The sequence below is a fragment of the Homo sapiens genome, chromosome 7 (genome assembly GCF_000001405.40).
Source record: "Homo sapiens chromosome 7, GRCh38.p14 Primary Assembly".
NCBI classification, from domain to species: domain Eukaryota; kingdom Metazoa; phylum Chordata; class Mammalia; order Primates; family Hominidae; genus Homo; species Homo sapiens.
In genome coordinates, this window is record NC_000007.14 from 90,203,716 (window position 1) to 90,223,727 (window position 20,012).

Below are 20,012 nucleotides of genomic sequence, written 5' to 3' on the forward strand. Positions count from 1 at the left end.
TAATAAATGGTGCTGGGAAAACTGGCTAGCCATATGTAGAAAGCTGAAACTGGATCCCTTCTTTACACCTTATACAAAAATCAATTCAAGATGGATTAAAGACTTAAATGTTAGACCTAAAACCATAAAAACCCTAGAAGAAAACCTAGGCATTACCATTCAGGACATAGGCACGGGCAAGGACTTCATGTCTAAAACACCAAAAGCAATGGCAACAAAAGCCAAAATTGACAAATGGGATCTAATTAAACTAAAGAGCTTCTGCACAGCAAAAGAAACTAGCATCAGAGTGAACAGGCAACCCACAAAATGGGAGAAAATTTTTGCAACCTACTCATCTGACAAAGGGCTAATATCCAGAATCTACAACGAACTCAAACAAATTTACAAGAAAAAAACAAACAACCCCATCAAAAAGTGGGTGAAGGACATGAACAGACACTTATCAAAAGAAGACATTTATGCAGTCAAAAAACATATGAAAAAATGCTCACCATCACTGGCCATCAGAGAAATGCAAATCAAAACCACAATGAGATACCATCTCACACTAGTTAGAATGGCCATCATTAAAAAGTTAGGCAACAACAGGTGCTGGAGAGGATGTGGAGAAATAGGAACACTTTTACACTGTTGGTGGGACTGTAAACTAGTTCAACCATTGTGGAAGTCAGTGTGGCGATTCCTCAGGGATCTAGAACTAGAAATACCATTTGACCCAGCCATCCCATTACTGGGTATATACCCAAAGGACTATGAATCATGCTGCTATAAAGACACATGCACACGTATGTTTATTAAGGCACTATTCACAATAGCAAAGACTTGGAACCAACCCAAATGTCCAACAATGATAGACTGGATTAAGAAAATGTGGCACATATACACCATGGAATACTATGCAGCCATAAAAAATGATGAGTTCATGTCCTTTGTAGGGACATGGATGAAATTGGAAATCATCATTCTCAGTAAACTATTGCAAGAACAAAAAACCAAACACCACATATTCTCACTCATATGTGGGAATTGAACAATGGGAACACATGGACACAGGAGGGGGAACATCACACTCTGGGGACTGTTGTGGGGTGGGGGGAGGGGGGAGGGATAGCACTGGGAGATATACCTAACGCTAGATGACGAGTTAGTGGGTGCAGTGCACCAGCATGTCACATGTATACATAGGTAACTAACCTGCACATTGTGCACATGTACCCTAAAACTTAAAAGTATAATAAAAAAATTTTTAAATTAAAACTTGCATAAATATGTTCAAATATAAAATGAATTATAAATTTCTTATGATTACAGTTTACACACAACTATAAAACCAAAACAAATTGCAAAATTGTTAAATTATATCTAACATGTATAGTACATAATAAGTACTAGGCACTTTACATCTATCAACTTATTTAATATTCACAACCCAATGAGTTGGACATGATTATTATCGCCATTTAATAGATGAGGCAACCAAGACTGGAAGAAGTTAAACAACTTGTCCAATGTCCCAAAACTGATAAATGGCAGAGCTGGATTTCACAGAAAAGTTAACAGACAAGCGAATGTGAAGAATGATACCGTTTTACAGAAGTTAAATTGTTCCTTGTAATGTGAATATGGTATTGACTTTAACTGTAGATCTTCTGGCTTTAACATACATAAATTAAAATGAGCGGGATAGTGACTAATTTCTCCCACCACTTGTTTTTCTCTTCTGTCAACTGCTAAATATATATTGGCACAGCACAAATTAATGTCATTTGGTCTTCATTTTAAGGGAATGGCTTGTTACAAATTAAGTCTACATCTGTTCTCTCAAGTTTTTTCTTAAGACAATTCCTGATTACTATTTTTCTTTATTATTGGGATTTAATTCACATACTATACAATTTATGCCTTTGAAGAGTACAGTTCAGTGGCTTTTAGCGTATTCACAAACTTGTGCAGCCATCATCACTAATTCCAGAATATTTTCATCATACCAAAAAGAAATCCCACACTCACTAAGCAGTTAATATAGTTTAGATATTCGTGCCTTCAAAATCTCATGTTAAAATTTGATCCCCAGTGTTGGAGGTGAGGCCTAGTAGGAGGTGTTTTGGTCATGGAGGGGCGGACCCCTCATGAATGGCTTGGTGCCATTCTTACTGGAGTAATCCCATGAGAACTGGTTGTTAAAAAGAGCCTGGCACCTCCCTCCTCTCTTTCCTTTTCTTGCCATGGGAAACCTGCTCCCCTTCGTCTTCTGCCATGAATAGAAGCTTCCTGAAGCCCTCACCAGAAGCAAATGCTGGTGCCATGGCCATGCTTCTTGTATAGCCTGTAGAACTGAGTCAAAAACTCTTCATAAATTACCCAGCCTAGGCATTCCTTTATAGCAATGCCCCACACTCTTCCCCACCAGCCAGTAGGTTGGCAATTATCAAACTATTTTCTGTAATGATTTTCCTATTCTGAATATTTAATATAAACGGAATTATAAAATATGTGGATCTTTGGGTCTGGCACCTTTCACTTAGCATAATTTTTCAAGGTTTATGTTGTAATCCATGCCAGTATTGAATCCCTTTTTATACCTGAATAATGTTTCATTTTGTGGATGGGATCATATACATTTCATGTACATTTTAATCAATTAATGGACATTTGAGTTGTTTCTACCTTTGGGCTACTATGATAATGCTGTGATAATATTTGAGTGCAAGTTTTTGTGTAAAAATGTTTTCAGTTCTCTTGGGTATGTAACTAGGAGTGAAATTGCCCAACTGTTTTCCAGAATAGTTGCACATTTTACTTTCCCACCAGCAATGTATGAGGATGCCAATTTCTCTACTTTCTCACCAAGACTTGATATTGTGATACTGACTTTCTGATTATAGCCATCTCAGTAGGTGTGAGTGGTATCTCAGGTGGTTTTGATTTGCATTTATCTAAGGATTAAGGATGTTGAGCAGTTTTTTGTTTGCTTATTAGCCATGCATATCTTCTTTGAAGAAATGTGTATTCAGATTCTTTGGCCATTTTGTAATTGGGTTATTTCTCTTTTTATTCAGCTGCAAGAGTTCTCTCATTAAGATCTGACAGGTTAATACAACACCAATGCAATGATAAATGCAAAAAACAGGGACTCTGAAATTGCGTGGTTGTACTCAGTTATAAGGTGGTCATCCATGAGATCCAGAATCAAATTTGATGAAATGGTTAAGATTATAATGTTTTATAATTTGTTTATTTGAAAATATACATTTTAAATGTTTGCTAGAGAGCTCTAATATCCTCAAGAATACCTACAATGTAAACACTGTTCTATGCATAGACTAAATCCTTAGCAATAGACAGAAGGAACTGAGTGCTCTTTGAGTGAGGGAATGGGCTTGACCAGTGTTTGAAGATTTAAAAATGAATATGAAGACATGTTGTGACACTAGGGTATGATTATATTTTTATATTTAAGTAGAATCTGATTATCATCAGAAAAACTCTAATTTTAAAATCCATAGCTGGCAATATCCATGAATTCAGCCCAGGTCATCAAATGCTGAAAGCACATGGGTCAGATTGACTGTCTCCATTTTTTCTTGCTTACTTCAAAGCTATGAAGAAATCCAAAGCCCTTGCTGATACTCTTCCATGATATATTCCTTTTAAATGCTTGAAAAGTTTTCCCTTCCTACAGGAATCCCCCAAACACAGCTGTCCTTACACTGAGCCCCTATTCAAATTTTGGTTCCTCTTTCTAACATTGGTCGTCAGTCAATTTTGCTGGTCTATACCAACTGCAGATCTAGAGCCAATGCTTATAGAACTTTTCTGAGAATTCTTTTAATTTCAGATAATTTTTTAAAATTACCACAAAATTAGTTTAGAAGAATTCGCAGAGAGGTACATTGGGAGGGAAATAGCTTTGAGGCCCTTTATGGATTTATGACCAAAGCTATCCAGTCAAATTCCTCCAGGTATTTTTGCTATTTCCTATGGGTATACTGAAATTACACACATTTTAAAGCTTCCTTAATCAACTTAAACAAATACAAATAATAAAATTCAGTGTCAATGAGATACTGAATCTAAAAGATAAAAGTACATCCATATTTTTATAATGATTTTTCAATTGTTATGGAAAGAAATATGAGACTATGTAAACAGAAAAAATAAAATTTCTTTTAATTAAAAAACCCACATTAAAAAATATATCCCAAGAAAATATTCCCATCACTTATTACTCCAAAGAGTAATTTGTTCAAGGAGGTTAAAGCAGTGTTACTTATAATAGTTAAAGAATCAGAAAATGTACTTTCCTAAAATTTAGGGTTAAGAAAACTATTCTAGGCCAAACACAGTGGCTCACACATGTAATCCCAGCACACTGTGAGAGGGATGGGTGATGTGGGAAGATCACTTGAGCCTAGGCATTTAAGACCAGCCTGGGCAACCTAGGGAGATCCCCTCTCTACAAGTAATAAATAATTAGCTGGGTGTGGTGGCGTGTGCCTGCCTGTAGTCCAGCTTCTGGGAGGCTGAGGCAGGAGACTCACTTGAGCTCAGGAGGTTGAGGCTGCAGTGAGCCTTGACCATGCCACTGCACTCTAGCCTGGATTACAGATTCAGACCCTGAAAAAAAAGAGAAAGGAAGGAAGGAAGGAAGGAAGGAAGGGAGGGAGGGAGGGAGGGAGGGAGGGAGGGAGGGAGGGAAGGAAGGAAGGAAGGAAGGAAGGAAGGAAGGAAGGAAGGAAGGAAGGAAGGAAGGAAGGAAGGAAAAACTAGTCTATACCAATATATAAACTATATAGCCATTAAGAATTATAAGACTTTAGAACATGTTGATCTCTGGAAATATGTTTATGAAATAATGTTAATTATAAATATGTGTTTTGTACAGATGTACATTCAAGCATTTTAATAGATTTATAAATCCTTGTGTATCATTTTGTGTTCAAACACAGCGTATTTCTTTTTTTAATCATACTTAAACAATTTATTTTTTATTTCAATAGTTTCTGAGGAACAGGTGGCTTTTTGTGACATGAACAAATTCTTTTGCAGTAATTTCTGAGATTTTGGTGTACCCATCACCAGAGCAGTGTACACTGTACTCAATACGTAGTATTTTACCCCTCACCCCACTTCCCCCTGGAGCCCCCAGACTCCACTATATCATTCTGATGCCTTTGTGTCCTCATAGCTTAGCTCCAGCTTATGAATGAGAACATATGTTTGGTTTTCCACTCTGAGTTATTTCACTTAGAATAATCATCTCTAATTCCATCCAGGTTGCTGAGAATGCCATTATTTTGTTCCTTTTTATGGCTGAGTAGTATTCTGTGGTATATATATACTATATTTTCTTTATCCACTCGTTGGTTGATGGACATTTAGGCTGGTTCCATATTTTTTGCAATTGTGAATTGCGCTGGTATAAACATGTGCAAACACAGTCTACTTCAGATTATATTTACATGTATAAATCTATTGATGTATATTAATGTACATTGACAAATAAATGTAAGGTGATGTTAACAGAATTTCATGTTTATTGAATTCTTTGGTTTTAAAACAAAGCAGCATTTCACAAAAATTATTCTATTTTATTATAAGCACTGCTTACAAACAAATTTGTTCAAAACAAATTTGGGGGTTTGGGGAATAGGTTAGGTAAAATGTTTTTACCATAGGAATTTTCAGAGCCTTTAATTTATTAACATACATTGTGGATCTCTAAAATGAAGAGATTTCTCTTATTGTTTATCTCAAAATCTACTATTTACATCACGACTTACATTTATTTTGTGTAAATAAATCTGCATAAATCTTATTTGCACTTGTTACTAATTTATCGTTTTCACCAAACTGTAACTTCTATCAGGACAGGTAAATATATCTGTCTTCTTCACCACTGTTCCTAGAGTGCCAGCCAGGGCATATAGAAGTGGCTCAATATTTTTGAAGTGAATGACTTGCTAGAGCAGCATTTAGGCAAACTAGTGCCTAAAGTCACACATTTTGGGAACTACCACTCTAAAGTTATTTAATTGTATAATAACTTCAAAGGAAAAAAATGTGTTAATGCCCCTAGGCCACTAGAGATCCATTTAATAATTATTGCTTCGCTTCAGTTGAGTCACTTACTACTTTAGGGAACAGAAGAGATTTCTCAGAGAGCACCTCATGACCTGGAAAAGTCTTGCAAAATCATTTTCATACTCTGCATCTCCAGCTGAAAAACAATGATAAAATTAGTTACCATGGAAGTTAAAGGAATCATGCTTTGCATTAACACCAACAGTCTTCTGGAACACATTTGGTAACATTAGATTTCCCATCAAAGATATTTGTTTATTTTAATAGTTCAAGCATGAAAAAGAGATATCCCTTTTGGAAGCTGCAAATTGTTGACTCACTGATTCTCATTTAGGAAAAGGGATTTCACATTACTTTATCTATTTTCTCAATAGTCAAAGCCCATGTTAAGAGAGCTTTTAAACATATTTAAAATATATGGCTTACCTACATGTTTTACATGATAATTTATGGTTATAGAAGTTAGAAAGTGCAATTTCTTTTAATATCCCCGTGGGGAAGTTATATAATTCTATAGTTTTTTAAAATATATGGAAAAGCAATATACTTTCCGTTAACTGCTAAGATTCATGAATTTTCTCCACAAGTTCTCCAGAGGAACTACTAGAAAAAACTCCACGAATCTCATTATTTGACAGTTTTGTTGAAGTGAAATTATTAAAATTGATATTAGATTTAATGACTTGTTTCCAGTAACCAAAATGGAAAGTATTCTACCAGCTGTCGATGGTTCCACACCCTGACACATCGTTAAAACCTTAGCTTCTGCCTAAACTTTAAACCTTAATAATATTTGGCGGTAGGGGAGGGGTTACATTTCAAGTCAAACAAAGGATGTATTTCCAAAGCAGCATTTACAAAGGTTAATCTGTGTATGGACTACAAAGGGGAAAGTGCAGTGCCCCAGTGATCGATCTAAGACCCCCCTCTCGTTGTTGTTGTTGTTGGGTTTTTTTGGTCTGGTTAATAAACCACCTAGAGGGATAATTTTTAAACTTAATTTGTTGAAATGGTACTTTACTAATGTATGAAAAAAATTTCCCCAAATTTGAGAATTTTTGGTAAGTTGATTTTATATTTGGGAATAAAGATCTCTTGCTTCTTCTACTGACACCTTCTACACAAAAGATAAAAGGTACTTTTACTTGGTAATCCGCAGGGAGAAAATTTACAGAAACCCAGAGCCAAAGGTGCTCTCAGGGGATCCCCTGAAACATTCAAAGCCATTGCGGCCCCAGAAGGTAAATGGCTTTCGCAGGAACACAGGTCTCCTGACTCACGGCCTAACCTTCCTTTCCCCCACACCAAAGCTCGCGCGGCACCAGCTAGAGTGAAGGTCAAAGTCAACAGAATAATCTCTGCAGTCCAGGGTCTGTGAGGGTCCTCCTATCCGAGGGAGTTTTCATGAAAGGGCATTTCCGAACATTTTATTCCAAGGACACAGTCTAGTCAAAAGACGTTTGGGATAGGGTAAACATGAGGCAAAAGAACACTTACAAAAGAAAAAAGCGCAGTTTCTTGGAGGCTTGTCAGAAGCTAAGACTGGGGAGATGAGAACCAGGGCCCTTGGCGAGAGTTGGGGTGGGAATCGCGTAAGAAAAGCAATTTCTAGAGCGGAAAGGTGACCCCACATTACAAAAAGAAATGGAGTAGAAAAATAGGCTTGACTATTCTAAAGCTGCTTCAGAAAGAATCTCCGGAAGACCACGGAGGAACCCCGCAGGGGAGCCAGGCGGATACTCAGCCGCTCGCGGTAGAAGGGCGCGCAAAGCTGCGGAGCCGCGTGTGTGGAGCTCCCCAGTGCACTCACTGCTGGCTCCCCCTCGGTGCTCTGGGCCCTTCCCAGCTCCCTCCACACAGCCCGGCTCCCTTCACACACCCCCGCCCCCTCCGAGCTCCCCGACTCCTCCCCGCGCTCCACGGCTCTTCCCGACTCCAGTCAGCGTTCCTCGGGCCCTCGGCGCCACGAGCTGTCCGGGCACGCAGCCCCTAGCGGCGCGTCGCTGCCAAGCCGGCCTCCGCGCGCCTCCCTCCTTCCTTCTCCCCTGGCTGTTCGCGATCCAGCTTGGGTAGGCGGGGAAGCAGCTGGAGTGCGACCGCCGCGGCAGCCACCCTGCAACCGCCAGTCGGAGGTGCAGTCCGTAGGCCCTGGCCCCCGGGTGGGCCCTTGGGGAGTCGGCGCCGCTCCCGGGGAGCTGCAAGGCTCGCCCCTGCCCGGCGTGGAGGGCGCGGGGGGCGCGGAGGTGAGCGGGTCGGGGAGGAGCGCGAAAGAAGGTAGCGGCGGCGGAGTTGAGGGTCAAGATGCAGTCTGCGCCACGCGCTGCATCCATCCTCCCCGATTCTGCGCCCTCACCGGGCGTCCGCCCTGAGCTGCGGGGTCCCTCATCTCCTGGCACCTTAAGGTGGAAAGTGAGAAGGGTGGAGAAGGGTGTCTGTTCCACTGATTCCCCCTCCTCCTCCTCTTGGTTCCTAGAGCTAAGGGCAAGTCCTGAGGTTGGGCCCAGGAGAAAGAAGGCAAGGAGACATTGTCCCAGGTAGGATGTGTCCCAGCAGGAAAGGACAGGCAGGTTACTTTCGCCCCCTTGATAGTCTCCCTGCTACTTTGGGTTGATGCAGGGCATTTCATGGAAGATCATGCAGTGCTGCTTTGCGAACAGGTATTTCTAGCAGTCATTTGGTTTATTTCCCAGTAATGTAATCGTGGTGTTTAGGCCATTTCTGTTAGAAAGTAATTGGCCTCTTCTTTGACTGTCCTAAATTATCTTTGAACCCTGTGTTCAGCCTCAGCCAAAACTTGTTGAAAATTATGCCCTAAAAATCTTGCTCTTAAAATAGAGCAGAGAGATAAAGAGCATTTTTGTTGGAAGATTTCCATTTATTATCTCTCCCACCCCGTGGAGAAGGATTGGTGTCAGTTTTTACTCCTCGGGCAGTTAGTTTTTTAGATGGAAAGACAGTCCAGGCCATAGTTAATTATCGCTCATCAGTATAGGAGAAAAAGAATTCAGACTCCTGCCCCACCCCCACCCCCACCCCCAACCTCCTGACTTAGATTCTGGTCCTTTTAACAGCCCCGCTGCTTGGAACCCTTTTTGTTTTCTAAACCACCTCCCCATCCTTCCTTTTCTCCACTTTATTATTTCTTCATTTTATTGATCTGTTTATTTTTTCTTTCTTTAACCCTATAATTTTTTTACTCCGATTCTCTCTTGGTTGCTTCAAAGCTTAGAGGCTATTTAATGGAAAAGCAAAACAAAACAAAACAAAACACCCGTCCTAAATAATTTGCAGGATGTTTAGAAACATAAAGAGTAACTATGTGTGCTGCCATTGGGATGGCTGCACTCTCTGCCTCTTAGCTAGTCACTCTGTCAGGGTATGGGGAAATGAGACAATATTGAGAATGACAACTTGAGCAAATTGTGCAGTAAGGAAATGAAAAGCTTTATCCAAGTCACTTTTTATTGTACTGGTGCTATGGAAAATGTGGTGAATGAACATAGTTGTATTTTAGTACTGAAAAAACAGGACAGGTGAAGACAAATTTTTAAAGAAAGGATTGTAAATGAGTTAGAAAAGTGAGAAAGAAGATACACCAAAAATGTGAAAGAGTAAGACTGCAGGCGTGATAAAGGACATAGGACATCAGGAGATGTATTTATCCCTGCTGGGCCAGAAACCAGGACATTGAGGTAACTGAGACATTAACATAACAATAACATTGATAAATCACCTACCCCTTAAGGGCCCACATGTGTTTTCAGCAAAAAGAGAAATCTGATCTAGAGAATTATTACATGTCTTTTTGTCCTGAATTTTTTTGATGTATTCCATAACAAAGAATTTTTATTGCATCCTTAGTTACACTGCCAGCCAATGTGGAGGCAGTGATCACGGACAAGACAAACATGGTTCTTCCCTCGTGCAGTTTATTGTCCAATGGGGGAAATAGTAAACAGTAAAGAAACAATTATATAAAATATTACAAAATAAATTTAACAAGGGCTGAGTGAATTATTCTGCTATAGAGATGGAACAGTATATGGAAAGCTCCCAAGGTACATAAAGTGGTTGTTGTTTTCTCTTTCTAGAAGAGAATGCTGTGGGTGGACAATATACAGATAAGGTTAGAGAGGGGAAGCGGGGACTAACTCATTCAGGACCTTTTACGTGATAGTCAGGAAGATGGCTGTAGTTCTAAGTACAAGGAGCACCGATTTTAAGGAGAGACATTTTATGACGATTTACATTTTAAGATGATTTTAGCTGCTGTGGAGATGTTTGGAAAGGGTCAAAAGAGAAAGTAGGCTGACCCATTAGGAAATGTTTGCAGAGTTCAGGTGAGATGATAGACACCTGGACTAGCCTGGTATTGGTGGAGAGGGATTTATGAAATATGTTGGAGAACAGGAATTGGTGCAGGATTTTATGTCAAAAGTGAGGGTCAGCAAGGACTTAAGAATGACTCCCAATTTTCTGATTGGAGCAACTGGTGGATAATGGTGGCATTTACACATTTCCAGGCGAATGGGACCAGCTCTGGGTGGAAAAAGTTCAGGTTTGAACCTGTGAAGTTTGAGATGTCACAGAAAGAGGTCATAACCATATCCCCTTGGGAAGCAAAAAGGGAGGCTCTCCAGGACATAAGTGGATAGACTGGTCTTTGATAGGTAAAATTGGTGATTGTTAATTTAAGGTGAAACTAATGAGCTCAGTTTTCTGGTTTTTCTCCAGCAACCTTCACCAACGTGGATACAGATACAGAGAAAATGGATAGCTGGGTCCAGGACTAGAGTTTTGCCAAGCAGATATGATGGAGAGTAAGAGAGCTGAGGATCTTTTTAAGGGAGTGACTACAAATCTAGCCTCGGTTTAAAGAGAAACCAGAGCAGGCTGAAGGAGAGTGCAGGATATTAAGCAATTAGAGAGGTAGAGGTCAACGGATCAGATTTCTTTTGCTGTTTAGAATTATCAGTGTGAATATTTAAACTAAGATTATTGGAAGTCCTGGAGACAGTGCTTGGAGATTTCAGGCAGTGAGTGACTGAGGTGGGGTAGAGGCAAAAATTCATTGTCTCCAATGAGTAAGTCAAGGAAATAAGAGCCCCTGAAGTTGAATGGTTCATCCACTTGAATGATAAAGTCCAGGAAAAACATGATAGCTATTAGGGTAGAGAGGATGACCATGTATATACTGGGAGCCAGAGTCTGCAGTCATAAGGAATAAACTAGAAGTCAGTAGAGGACAGCAGTGAGGACAGCAGTAAGGACAGGGAGAGGGTATGGTGAAGTACCATGAGCTTCAAAGGAGCTGGGTGTTTGCAGGAGAGACAATGAAGAAGAGATGTTCAGATGTGGGCTTACAAAGTGAAGATTACACCACCCCACCTCATGGCCCTGGAGAATTATGTTTTCTTGATAGCCTCTCCAAATCTGCAGGTTGTGAAATGTCATCAAAACCTCTGTGGACAGCCCTTTCAGAGTTGCTGTCATCCAATAATAAATGCCCTATTTATGTGTGAAACAAATTAGGTTCTATTTTTCAAAAGTAACATAGCACAACAGGTGCCATTCAGCTTCAGGAATGTTCAGGAAATCCTTCTAAACTGAAAACCTTAAGAGGCTGTCCAGCTGAATGTAACTGAATTCCCTATCAAAATAATACATTCTCAAGTATTAAATGTGTACAGCAAGTCAAATGCCCATTCAAGAAAACGATGTCATTGACACAGACTTTTAGATTGAGCTCCCGAAGTTGAAGTGTTAAATATAGGGTGGTGATATTACCATTATTACACAGCTTCAAGACTTATTTAGTGTTGGAAACTACCACCAGAGTCAAGTATAACCTATTTGTTTGCTGTTTAACAAAGGAAATTGAGACTCAGAGAATCAAAGTGATTGCAGAAGCTTAGGCCTGCTCTTTCACCCCTACACTATGAAGACAAAACTTTCTATAAATGACATAGTTGTTTTTTGTTTTTGTTTGTTTTTGTTTTTGTTTTGAGGCTGAGTCTCACTCTGTTGCCCAGGCTGGAGTCCAGTGGCGCGATCTTGGCTCCCTGGTTCAAGCGATTCTCCTTCCTCAGCCTCCCAAGTAGCTGGGATTACAGGCACCTGCCACCACCCCTGCCTAATTTTTGTGCCTTTTTAGTAAAGATGGGGTTTAATCATGTTGGCCAGTCTGATCTTGAACTCCTGACCTCAAGTGATCCACCTGCTTCGGCCTCCCAAAGTGCTGAGATTACAGACGTGAGCCACCATGCCCAGCCTATAAATGACATAGTTTTATCAGTTATTTAATTTGGATTCCTTATGAATAACTTCAAAAGAAAAGGTATAGACACTGTGGACATCACCTGGGAGCTTGTGAAAAAATGCAGAATGTCTAACCTCCCTCTAGACCTAAAGAATCTGAGTGTGCATTTTAAAGAGGTCCCCAGGTGATCATATTTGCATTAAAGTTTGACAAGTGCCTTTCTAGTGAGTCATTCCCTTGGAAACAGTGGTCTGCTCAGGTCAGCAGGATCATGATGCCTGGAGAACTGGGGAGGGGATCCCCTTGTAGAACAGAAAGAAGAGATACAGTCATGGAAATATTCCGAATTTTGAATATTATGAAACAACAGGAACAAAGTATGTTGTGCAAGGAGTGACGCATTTTAAGGAATGGCATTGCCTTTCCCAGAAAGTGAAGAGAGGAAATTGGAAAATTGTGAGTGGACCTTCTGATACTGCTCCTCCTTGCGTGGAAAAGGGGAAAGAACTGCATGCATATTATTCAGCGTCCTATATTCAAAGGTAACTACTACTCTTTCGCAAGTGTAATTTTTCATTACTACAAACAACAACGTAAAAATTAACATAAGTGAGGGTCAGAAAGCCACATCTACTATCGCCAAATGATGAAAGTATTAGATTGAATTCTGAATCTTTTACTAGAGTGATTTTCAATCTTGGTTGCATAATAAAACATCTGCTAATCTTTTTTAAAAAATGCTGTTGCTCAGGATGAACCCCAGAACAATTAAGTGAAAACTGGGTGGTAGGGGGGTGACCCGTCATCACTGTGTTTTAAAACTTGCCAGGTCATTGGAGAATGCACCTAGGGTTGAGAAATACTGCTTTAGTAGCTCATTCAGAAGCAGCTCTGAGATTGCAGTTCTGCTACTCCATGTGCCAAAACAGTGGGACTTTCCCTCACTACCATAAGCGTAGTGCCAAGCCAGGTCAGCAATATTCAGGTCACCCTCACTGGCCAGTTTTCAGAACATTGAGGGAAGTAGGATTTATTTCTTGAAGAAGCCTGCTTAGACTAACTTTTAAAACAAATTGATACATGTTACATATCTATGGGGTACACATGAGTATTTGTTATATCCATAGAATGTGTAATGATCTGGTTGGAGTTTTTGGGGAATCCATCACCTTGAGTATTTATCATATCTATGTGTTAAGAACATTTCAAGTCATCTCTTCTAGCTACTTTGAAATACACAGTACATTGTTACTGACTATAGGCAACCTACTTTGCTATTGAACATTAGAACTTACTTCTTCTAACTGTACATTTGTATCCATGAACCAACATCTCTTCCTCCCCTCCTCCCATCAACACATCCTTCCAGCCTCTGATATCTCTCATGCTATTCTCTACCTCCATGGGATCCACTTTTTTAGCTCCCACACATGAGTAAAAACATGTGATATTTGCCTTTCTGTGCCTGGGTTATTTCACTTAACATAATGGCCTCCACTCCTATCCATGTTGCTGCAAATGACACGATTTCATTTTTTAAGGCTGAATAATATTTCATTGTGTATACATACCACATTTTCTTTATCCATTTGTTGATGGACATGTAGATTGATTCCATATCCTTGCTAGTGTGAATAGTGCGCAAAAAAAAAAAAAAAAAAAAAACATGTGAGGACGGGTATCTCTTTGATATACTAATTTCTTTTCCTGTAGATAATACCCGGTAGTGAGATTACTGGATTGTATGGTAGTTCCATTTTTAGTCTTTTGAGAAACAACCCCTATACTGTTGTCCACAGAGGCTGTACTAATTTACATTTCCACCAATAACATATAAGGATTCCCTTTTCTCTGAATCGTTGTCAGCATCTGTCATTTTTCTCTTTTAATAATAGCAGTTCTAATTGGGATAAGTTGAAATCTCATTGTGGTTTTGATATGCATTTCTCTGGTGATTAGTGATGCTTAGCATTTTTTCATATACCTATTAACCATTTGTTTGTCTTCTTTGGAAAAATGTCTATTCATGACCTTTACCCATTTTTATGGGATTATGTGTTTTTTATTGTCAGTTGTTTGAGTTCCTTGTATATTCTGAATATTAGTCCCTTATCAGATTAATAGTTTGCAAATATTTTCTTCTATTCAATAGGTGGTCTCTTCATTCTGTTGATTGTTTCCTTTGCTGCACGGAAGTCTTTTAGTTTAATATAGTCCCATTTGTCTATTTTTTTGTTGTTGTTGCTGTGCTTTTGAGGTCCTAGCCATAAAATCTTTGCCTAGACCAATGTCTTCAAATATTTCCCCAATGTTTTCTTCTTGAAATGAGGGGTTTTGGGTCTTATGTTTAAGTCTTTAGTTGACCTTGCGTTGATTTTTGTATATGGTGAGGGACAGGGGTCCAGTTTTATTCTTCTGCATACAGATATCCAATTGTCTAAGTACCATATATTTGAAGAGGATATCCTTTCCTCAGTGTATGTTCTTGGTGCCTTTGTTGACAATCAGTTGGCTGTAAATGTGTGGATTTTTTTTGTGGATTATCTAATCTGTTGCATTCATTGATCTGTGCATTTGTTTTTATACCGGTACCATGTTTTTTCGGTTACTATTGCCTTGTAATATATTTTGAAGTCAGGTAGTGTGATGCCTTCAGCTTTGTTCTTTTTGCTTAGGATTGCTGTAGCTATTCAGGATATTTTTTGGTTCTATATGAATTTTAGGATTGTCTTTTCTAATTCTATGAAAAATCACATTGGTATTTTGATAGGGATTGCATTGAATCTGTGTATTGCTTTGGGCAGTATGGTCATTTTAATATTAATTCTTCCAATCCATAAGCATGGAATGTTTTTCCATTCGTTTATGTCATCTTTAATTTTTTTCTACAGTGCTTTGTAGTTTTCCTTGTAGCAAACTTTCACCTCCTTGGTTAAATATATTCCTAGTTGTTTTTTGTTTGTTTTTGTTTTTTTTATAGCTATTGTAAATGGGATTGCCTTCTTGGTGTCTTTTTCAGCAAGTTCATTGTTGGTGTATAGAAATGGTACTGATTTTTGTATGTCGATTTTGTATCCTGCAACTTTATTGAATTTATTTATCAGATCTAAGAGTTTTTGTGTGAAATCTTTAGGTTTATCTAGATCTAAGATCATATCATCAGCAAAGAGGGATAATTTGACCTTCCTCTTTTCCAGTTTGGGTACCTTTTATTCTTTCTCTTTCCTGGTTGCTCTGGCTAGGACTTCCAATATGATGTTGAATAGAAGTGGTGAAAGTGGCATCCTTGTCTTGTTTCTGTTCATAGAGGAAAGGCTTTGAGCTTTTCCCCATTTCAAAATAATGATAGCTATATTATTATTATATAGATCATATAAGCCCTTATTATGTGAAGCATATTTTTTCTATCCCTAGTTTGTTGCAAGTTTTATCATGAGGGGATGCTAAATTTTCTCAAATGTTTTTTCTGCATCTATTGAGATGATCATATGGTTATTGTCCTTCATTCTCTTCAGGTGATGTATCACAGTTGTTGATTTGCATATGTTGAACCATCCTTGTATCCCTGGGATGCATTCCTGGAATAAATCCCCTTTGATCATGATGTGTGTGTGTTTTTTTTATGAGTTGTTAGATTTGGTTTGCTTCTACAGACACACACGCGCGCACACACACAATTTTTAGGAGACAGGGTCTTGCTCTGTTGCCCAGGAGGGAGTGCGGTTATGCAATCATAAATCACTGCAGCCTTCAACTTCTGGGCTCAGGTGATTCTTCTGCCTCAGCTCCCGAGTACTAGGACTTCAGGTGTGTACCACCACACCTAGCTATTGTTTAAATTTTTTGTAGAGACGAGGGTCTCATTATGTTGCCCAGGCTGGGCTTAAACTCCTGGCTTCAATCCATCCTCCTGCATTGGCCTCCCAAAGTGCTGGGATTACAGGCATAAGCCATCATGTCTGGCCCTTGGTTTGCTAGTATTTTGTTGAGAGTTTTTGTATCTGTGCTCATCAGGAATAATAGTATGTAGTTTTCTTTTTTGTTGAGCCTTGTTTGCTTTTGGTGTGAAGATAATGCTGACCTCATAGAATGAGTTAGGCAGAATTCCCTCCTGTTTAATGTTTTGGAAGAGTTTGAAGAGAATTGGTGTTAGGTCTGTTTTGAAAGTTTGGTAGAATTCGGCAGTGAAGCCATCTGGCCCTGGACTTTTCTTTGTTGGGAGTTTTTTAATTACTGCCTCAACTTTTTTTGTTACTGGTCTGTCCAGGTTTTCCATTTCTTCCCATTTCAATCTTGGTAGCTTGTATATGTGTAGCAGTTTATCCATTTCCTCTAGGTTTTCCAGTTTGTTGGTGTATAGTTGTTCATAATAGCTTCTCATGATCTTATGTATTTCTGTGGTATCAATTGTAATGTTTCCTTTTCCATTTCTGATTTTTTATTGGAGTATTTCCTCTTTTTTCTTGGTTAGTCTAGCAAGTGCTTTATCAATTTTATCTTTTCAAAAAACAAAACTTTTTGTTTCATCCATCCTTTGTATTGTTTTTTAAGTCCCAATTTGTCTAGTTCTGCTCTGATCTTTATTATTACTTTCCTTTTACCAATTTGGGGTTTGGCTTGTTTTTGCTTTTCTAGTTCCTTGAGGTACATCATTAAGTTGTTTATTTGAAATCGTAATGATTTTTTGGTGTAGGTGCTTGTTGATATAAGCTTCCATCTTAGCACTGCTTTTGCTGTATCTCATGGGTTTCAGTGTGTTGTGTTTTTATTTTTATTTGTTGAGGGAAATTTTTTGATTTCTTCCTTAATTTATTCTTTGCCCCCGTAGTCATTTAGGAGCATGTTGTTTAATCATTTATTTTTACAGTTTCAAAAGTTCCTCATGTTGTTGACTTCTAGTTTTATTCCATTGTGGTCTGAGGAAGTACTTGATATGACTTCGATTTTTAAAAAATTTGTTGAATCTTATTTTGTGTTCTAACATGGTCATTCCTAGAGAATGTCTATGTGCTGATGAGAATTTGTATTCTGTAACTGTTGTATAAAATGTTCTGTGAATGTTTGTTAGGTCCATTTGGTCTAACGTATAGTTTAAATTCAATGTTTCTTTGTTAATTTTCTGTCTAGATTATCTGTCAGATGCTGGCAGGCGGTGTTGAAGTCCCCAAATGTTGTTGTATTGGCGTCTGTTTCTCCTTTTAGATCTGATAACACTTTATTTATATTAATATATCTGAGTGGTCTGTTGTTGGGTGTATATATGTTTAGAATTGTTATATCCTCTTGCTAGAATTTATCTATTATCATTATATAATGACCTTCATTGTCTCTTTATACTGTTTTTGACTCAAACTGTTTTATTTGATATAAGTATAGTGACTTTTGGTTTCCATTTGCATGGACTATCTTTCTCCATCCCTTTGCTTTCAGTCTTATATGTGTTTTTATATGTTAGATGGGTTTCTTGTACCCAGCATATACTTGGGTTATGATTTTTTATCTATTACTAGTCCATATCTTTTCAGTGGAAAGTTTAATCCATTTGCATTCAAAGTTATTCAACAATGAAAACTTCCCAAGTCTAGTGAGAGATGTAGACACCCGGATACAGGTAACTTAGAGATCTCCAAACAGATACAATACAAGAAGGTCTTCCCCACAGCACATTATAGTCATATTGTCAAAAGTAAAAGACAAAGAGTGAATTCTAAAAACAGCAAGAGAATGACCAGTCACCTATAAAGGAACTCCCAGCAAAATAAAATTTTTACCTGTTCACATTCTGATTTACAGAAGGGATTTGAACTTGCTTTGTAAAATAAGCAGATAATTAATGTTGTTTTGTTTTTGTTTCTGTTTGAAAAAGTCTTGATCATCATGAGTGTTAGATTTAAAGATTTTGCAATTCTTATATTTTGGGAGATGCTGCAGTATATACTCAGAAGAACTCCAGGCTGGGATATAGGAAACTTGGATTCCCTTGTGTGAATCTAGCAACCTTTTTCACCCTTAGATAATGCTCATGATTACCATTAACTTTCGAATGAAGTGAGCATGGATTTCATTACTTCTGGTTTTTTTAACCACTCCTGATTCCCAGCATAGCTAGTGACATCTCCAAATGGATATTGACAGGTTTTTTTCCTACCCTGGTACCTCTGACTCCTGCCTGCCTTTCTGGGTGCATGGACCACACCAAGGGAGTGGTCTATCTTGAAAGGTGTGAAATGAAACATGTAATTGATTTAAAAATAGTAAATGTTCTTCTTTCCCAGGATCGGGTGCTCCTAGGTAACTCTGAGGAGCAATGAAATGACCAAAGAAAAAGGAATAATATACTACTTTGAGTACAACTGTAATTGTTACACCTTGATACTTATAACCCCCCAAAAACACCCTTTCCTAAACTCCTTACATGCACCTAAATAACACATGTCTTAGCTGGACAACTACCTGGCTTCCCTATTTTCTGTCTTTATGTCCTTGGATAAATTAATTATCTTCTGCAGGTCTCAGTTTCCTCATCTACAAAGTGGGTATGACAGTATTAGCACCTGTCTCTTAGGGTGGTTGTGGGGATTCAATCAGTTAATACATAAAAACCACAAGAGAGCTGAAATACATTATGTCCTATATAAGCATTAAGTAATATTACTATAATTATTGTCTTTCTAAAGTTTAACATACTGATGTATTTGGAGTTACTGGATGTGACTCATTTCTAGGGTAAAAAGTTGAATTTTCCTGGCTGTAGTCATTTCAAATTTCATTTAGTAAAAACCCCAACTTTTTTTTGAAACATTCCACCTGTGCCTGTAAAGTCCATTAAATCCTCTGAAATGGTCCACATCTGCTATGAGCATAGAAGAAATTGTGCAATGAGGGTAGAATGGAAGAGTATTTTTCTTTCAGACCCAATTTCGACACTAATTCATGGCAACCTGATTTGTATTCTTGAGCAAATTATTCCAAATATGAACATTTCAGATGCTAGTCTCTCAACTAAAAAATAATTTGAGAGATTTTTCCAGGAAGAATAACTGCATCATAGTTTATGCAGCCAACAAATGAAAGGGTGTCATGTTGCGGTCCAAAGGGCGTGGGTGGATGAGCAGAAAGAATACTTGAAGGGCTGTAGGCAGGTGAAAGATGATTTTATTCAACAGCAGCTCTGATCAACAACTTTCTCACACTGTCCATCCTGTCTCAGCTGCTTAGTCTGGTGGCTCCCACACACACAGCTCCCTTGCCTTCAGGGTCAGCAGCTTAACTATTTCTCTCTCTGGGCATGGGCAAGCCAAGCTGGGTCCTGACTCCCCCATCTGTCTGCAAAGACAGACAGCTCTGACTCTCTGTCTCTGAGCACAAGAGTGCCTCTACAGTGTCCACAGGGCAATTATACCTTTTACAGACAATAGTGGCTTAGAGCCAAGTGATGAGTTTTCCCTATGTCATAGCGATGGTGGTGAGCTTCTGTTATGTCTACATGGCTATGATAACAAGTAACAAGTGAAGTTATATGCTTGCGCTCTGAACTCACTCACTCTGGATGTTTACCTCTGCCTGTCCTTGACCAAAGCACAGCCATGTTCTTTACAAAGGGGAAGAAAAAGATTTCATACATATTATATAATTTAAGATCATAAACATGTTACTAATCCTTTTT

At 38.6% G+C, this 20,012-nt stretch overlaps 1 protein-coding gene and 1 long non-coding RNA gene across 24 annotated transcripts in view, besides 1 other annotated feature; one reads left to right on the forward strand and one right to left on the reverse strand.

The window, feature by feature from the left end:
- STEAP2-AS1 (STEAP2 antisense RNA 1) overlaps positions 1-7,920 on the reverse strand; it is a 329,283-nt gene extending 321,363 nt beyond the window's left edge. The window contains exons 1-2 of the long non-coding RNA NR_110029.2: positions 7,585-7,920; positions 6,136-6,223 (exon numbers count right to left, since the gene is read on the reverse strand). This is a non-coding gene — a long non-coding RNA (STEAP2 antisense RNA 1). The remainder of the gene's footprint in view (positions 1-6,135; positions 6,224-7,584) is intronic.
- A 104-nt stretch (positions 7,921-8,024) lies between these two features.
- The window catches only part of STEAP2 (STEAP2 metalloreductase), a 31,669-nt gene continuing 19,681 nt past the window's right edge, over positions 8,025-20,012 (forward strand). For 3 of the 23 annotated variants that reach the window (XM_047420175.1, XM_047420180.1, XM_047420178.1), the window contains exons 1-3: positions 8,025-8,330; positions 8,561-8,621; positions 12,776-12,888. The gene's annotated coding sequence lies outside the window, so the exon portion shown is untranslated. Of the gene's footprint in view, positions 8,331-8,560; positions 8,622-8,641; positions 8,745-10,104; positions 10,146-12,716; positions 12,889-20,012 lie in introns of those variants that run through there. The other 20 variants (XM_006715921.5, XM_017011956.3, XM_047420177.1 and 17 more) reach the window with 12 other exon arrangements.
- Positions 8,128-8,187: a silencer, noted in NCBI's record as "silent region_18357". NCBI's record gives its function as "represses an Ori minimal core promoter by ATAC-STARR-seq in GM12878 lymphoblastoid cells {active_cell/tissue: GM12878}" and the evidence as "EXISTENCE:reporter gene assay evidence [ECO:0000049][PMID:35858748]".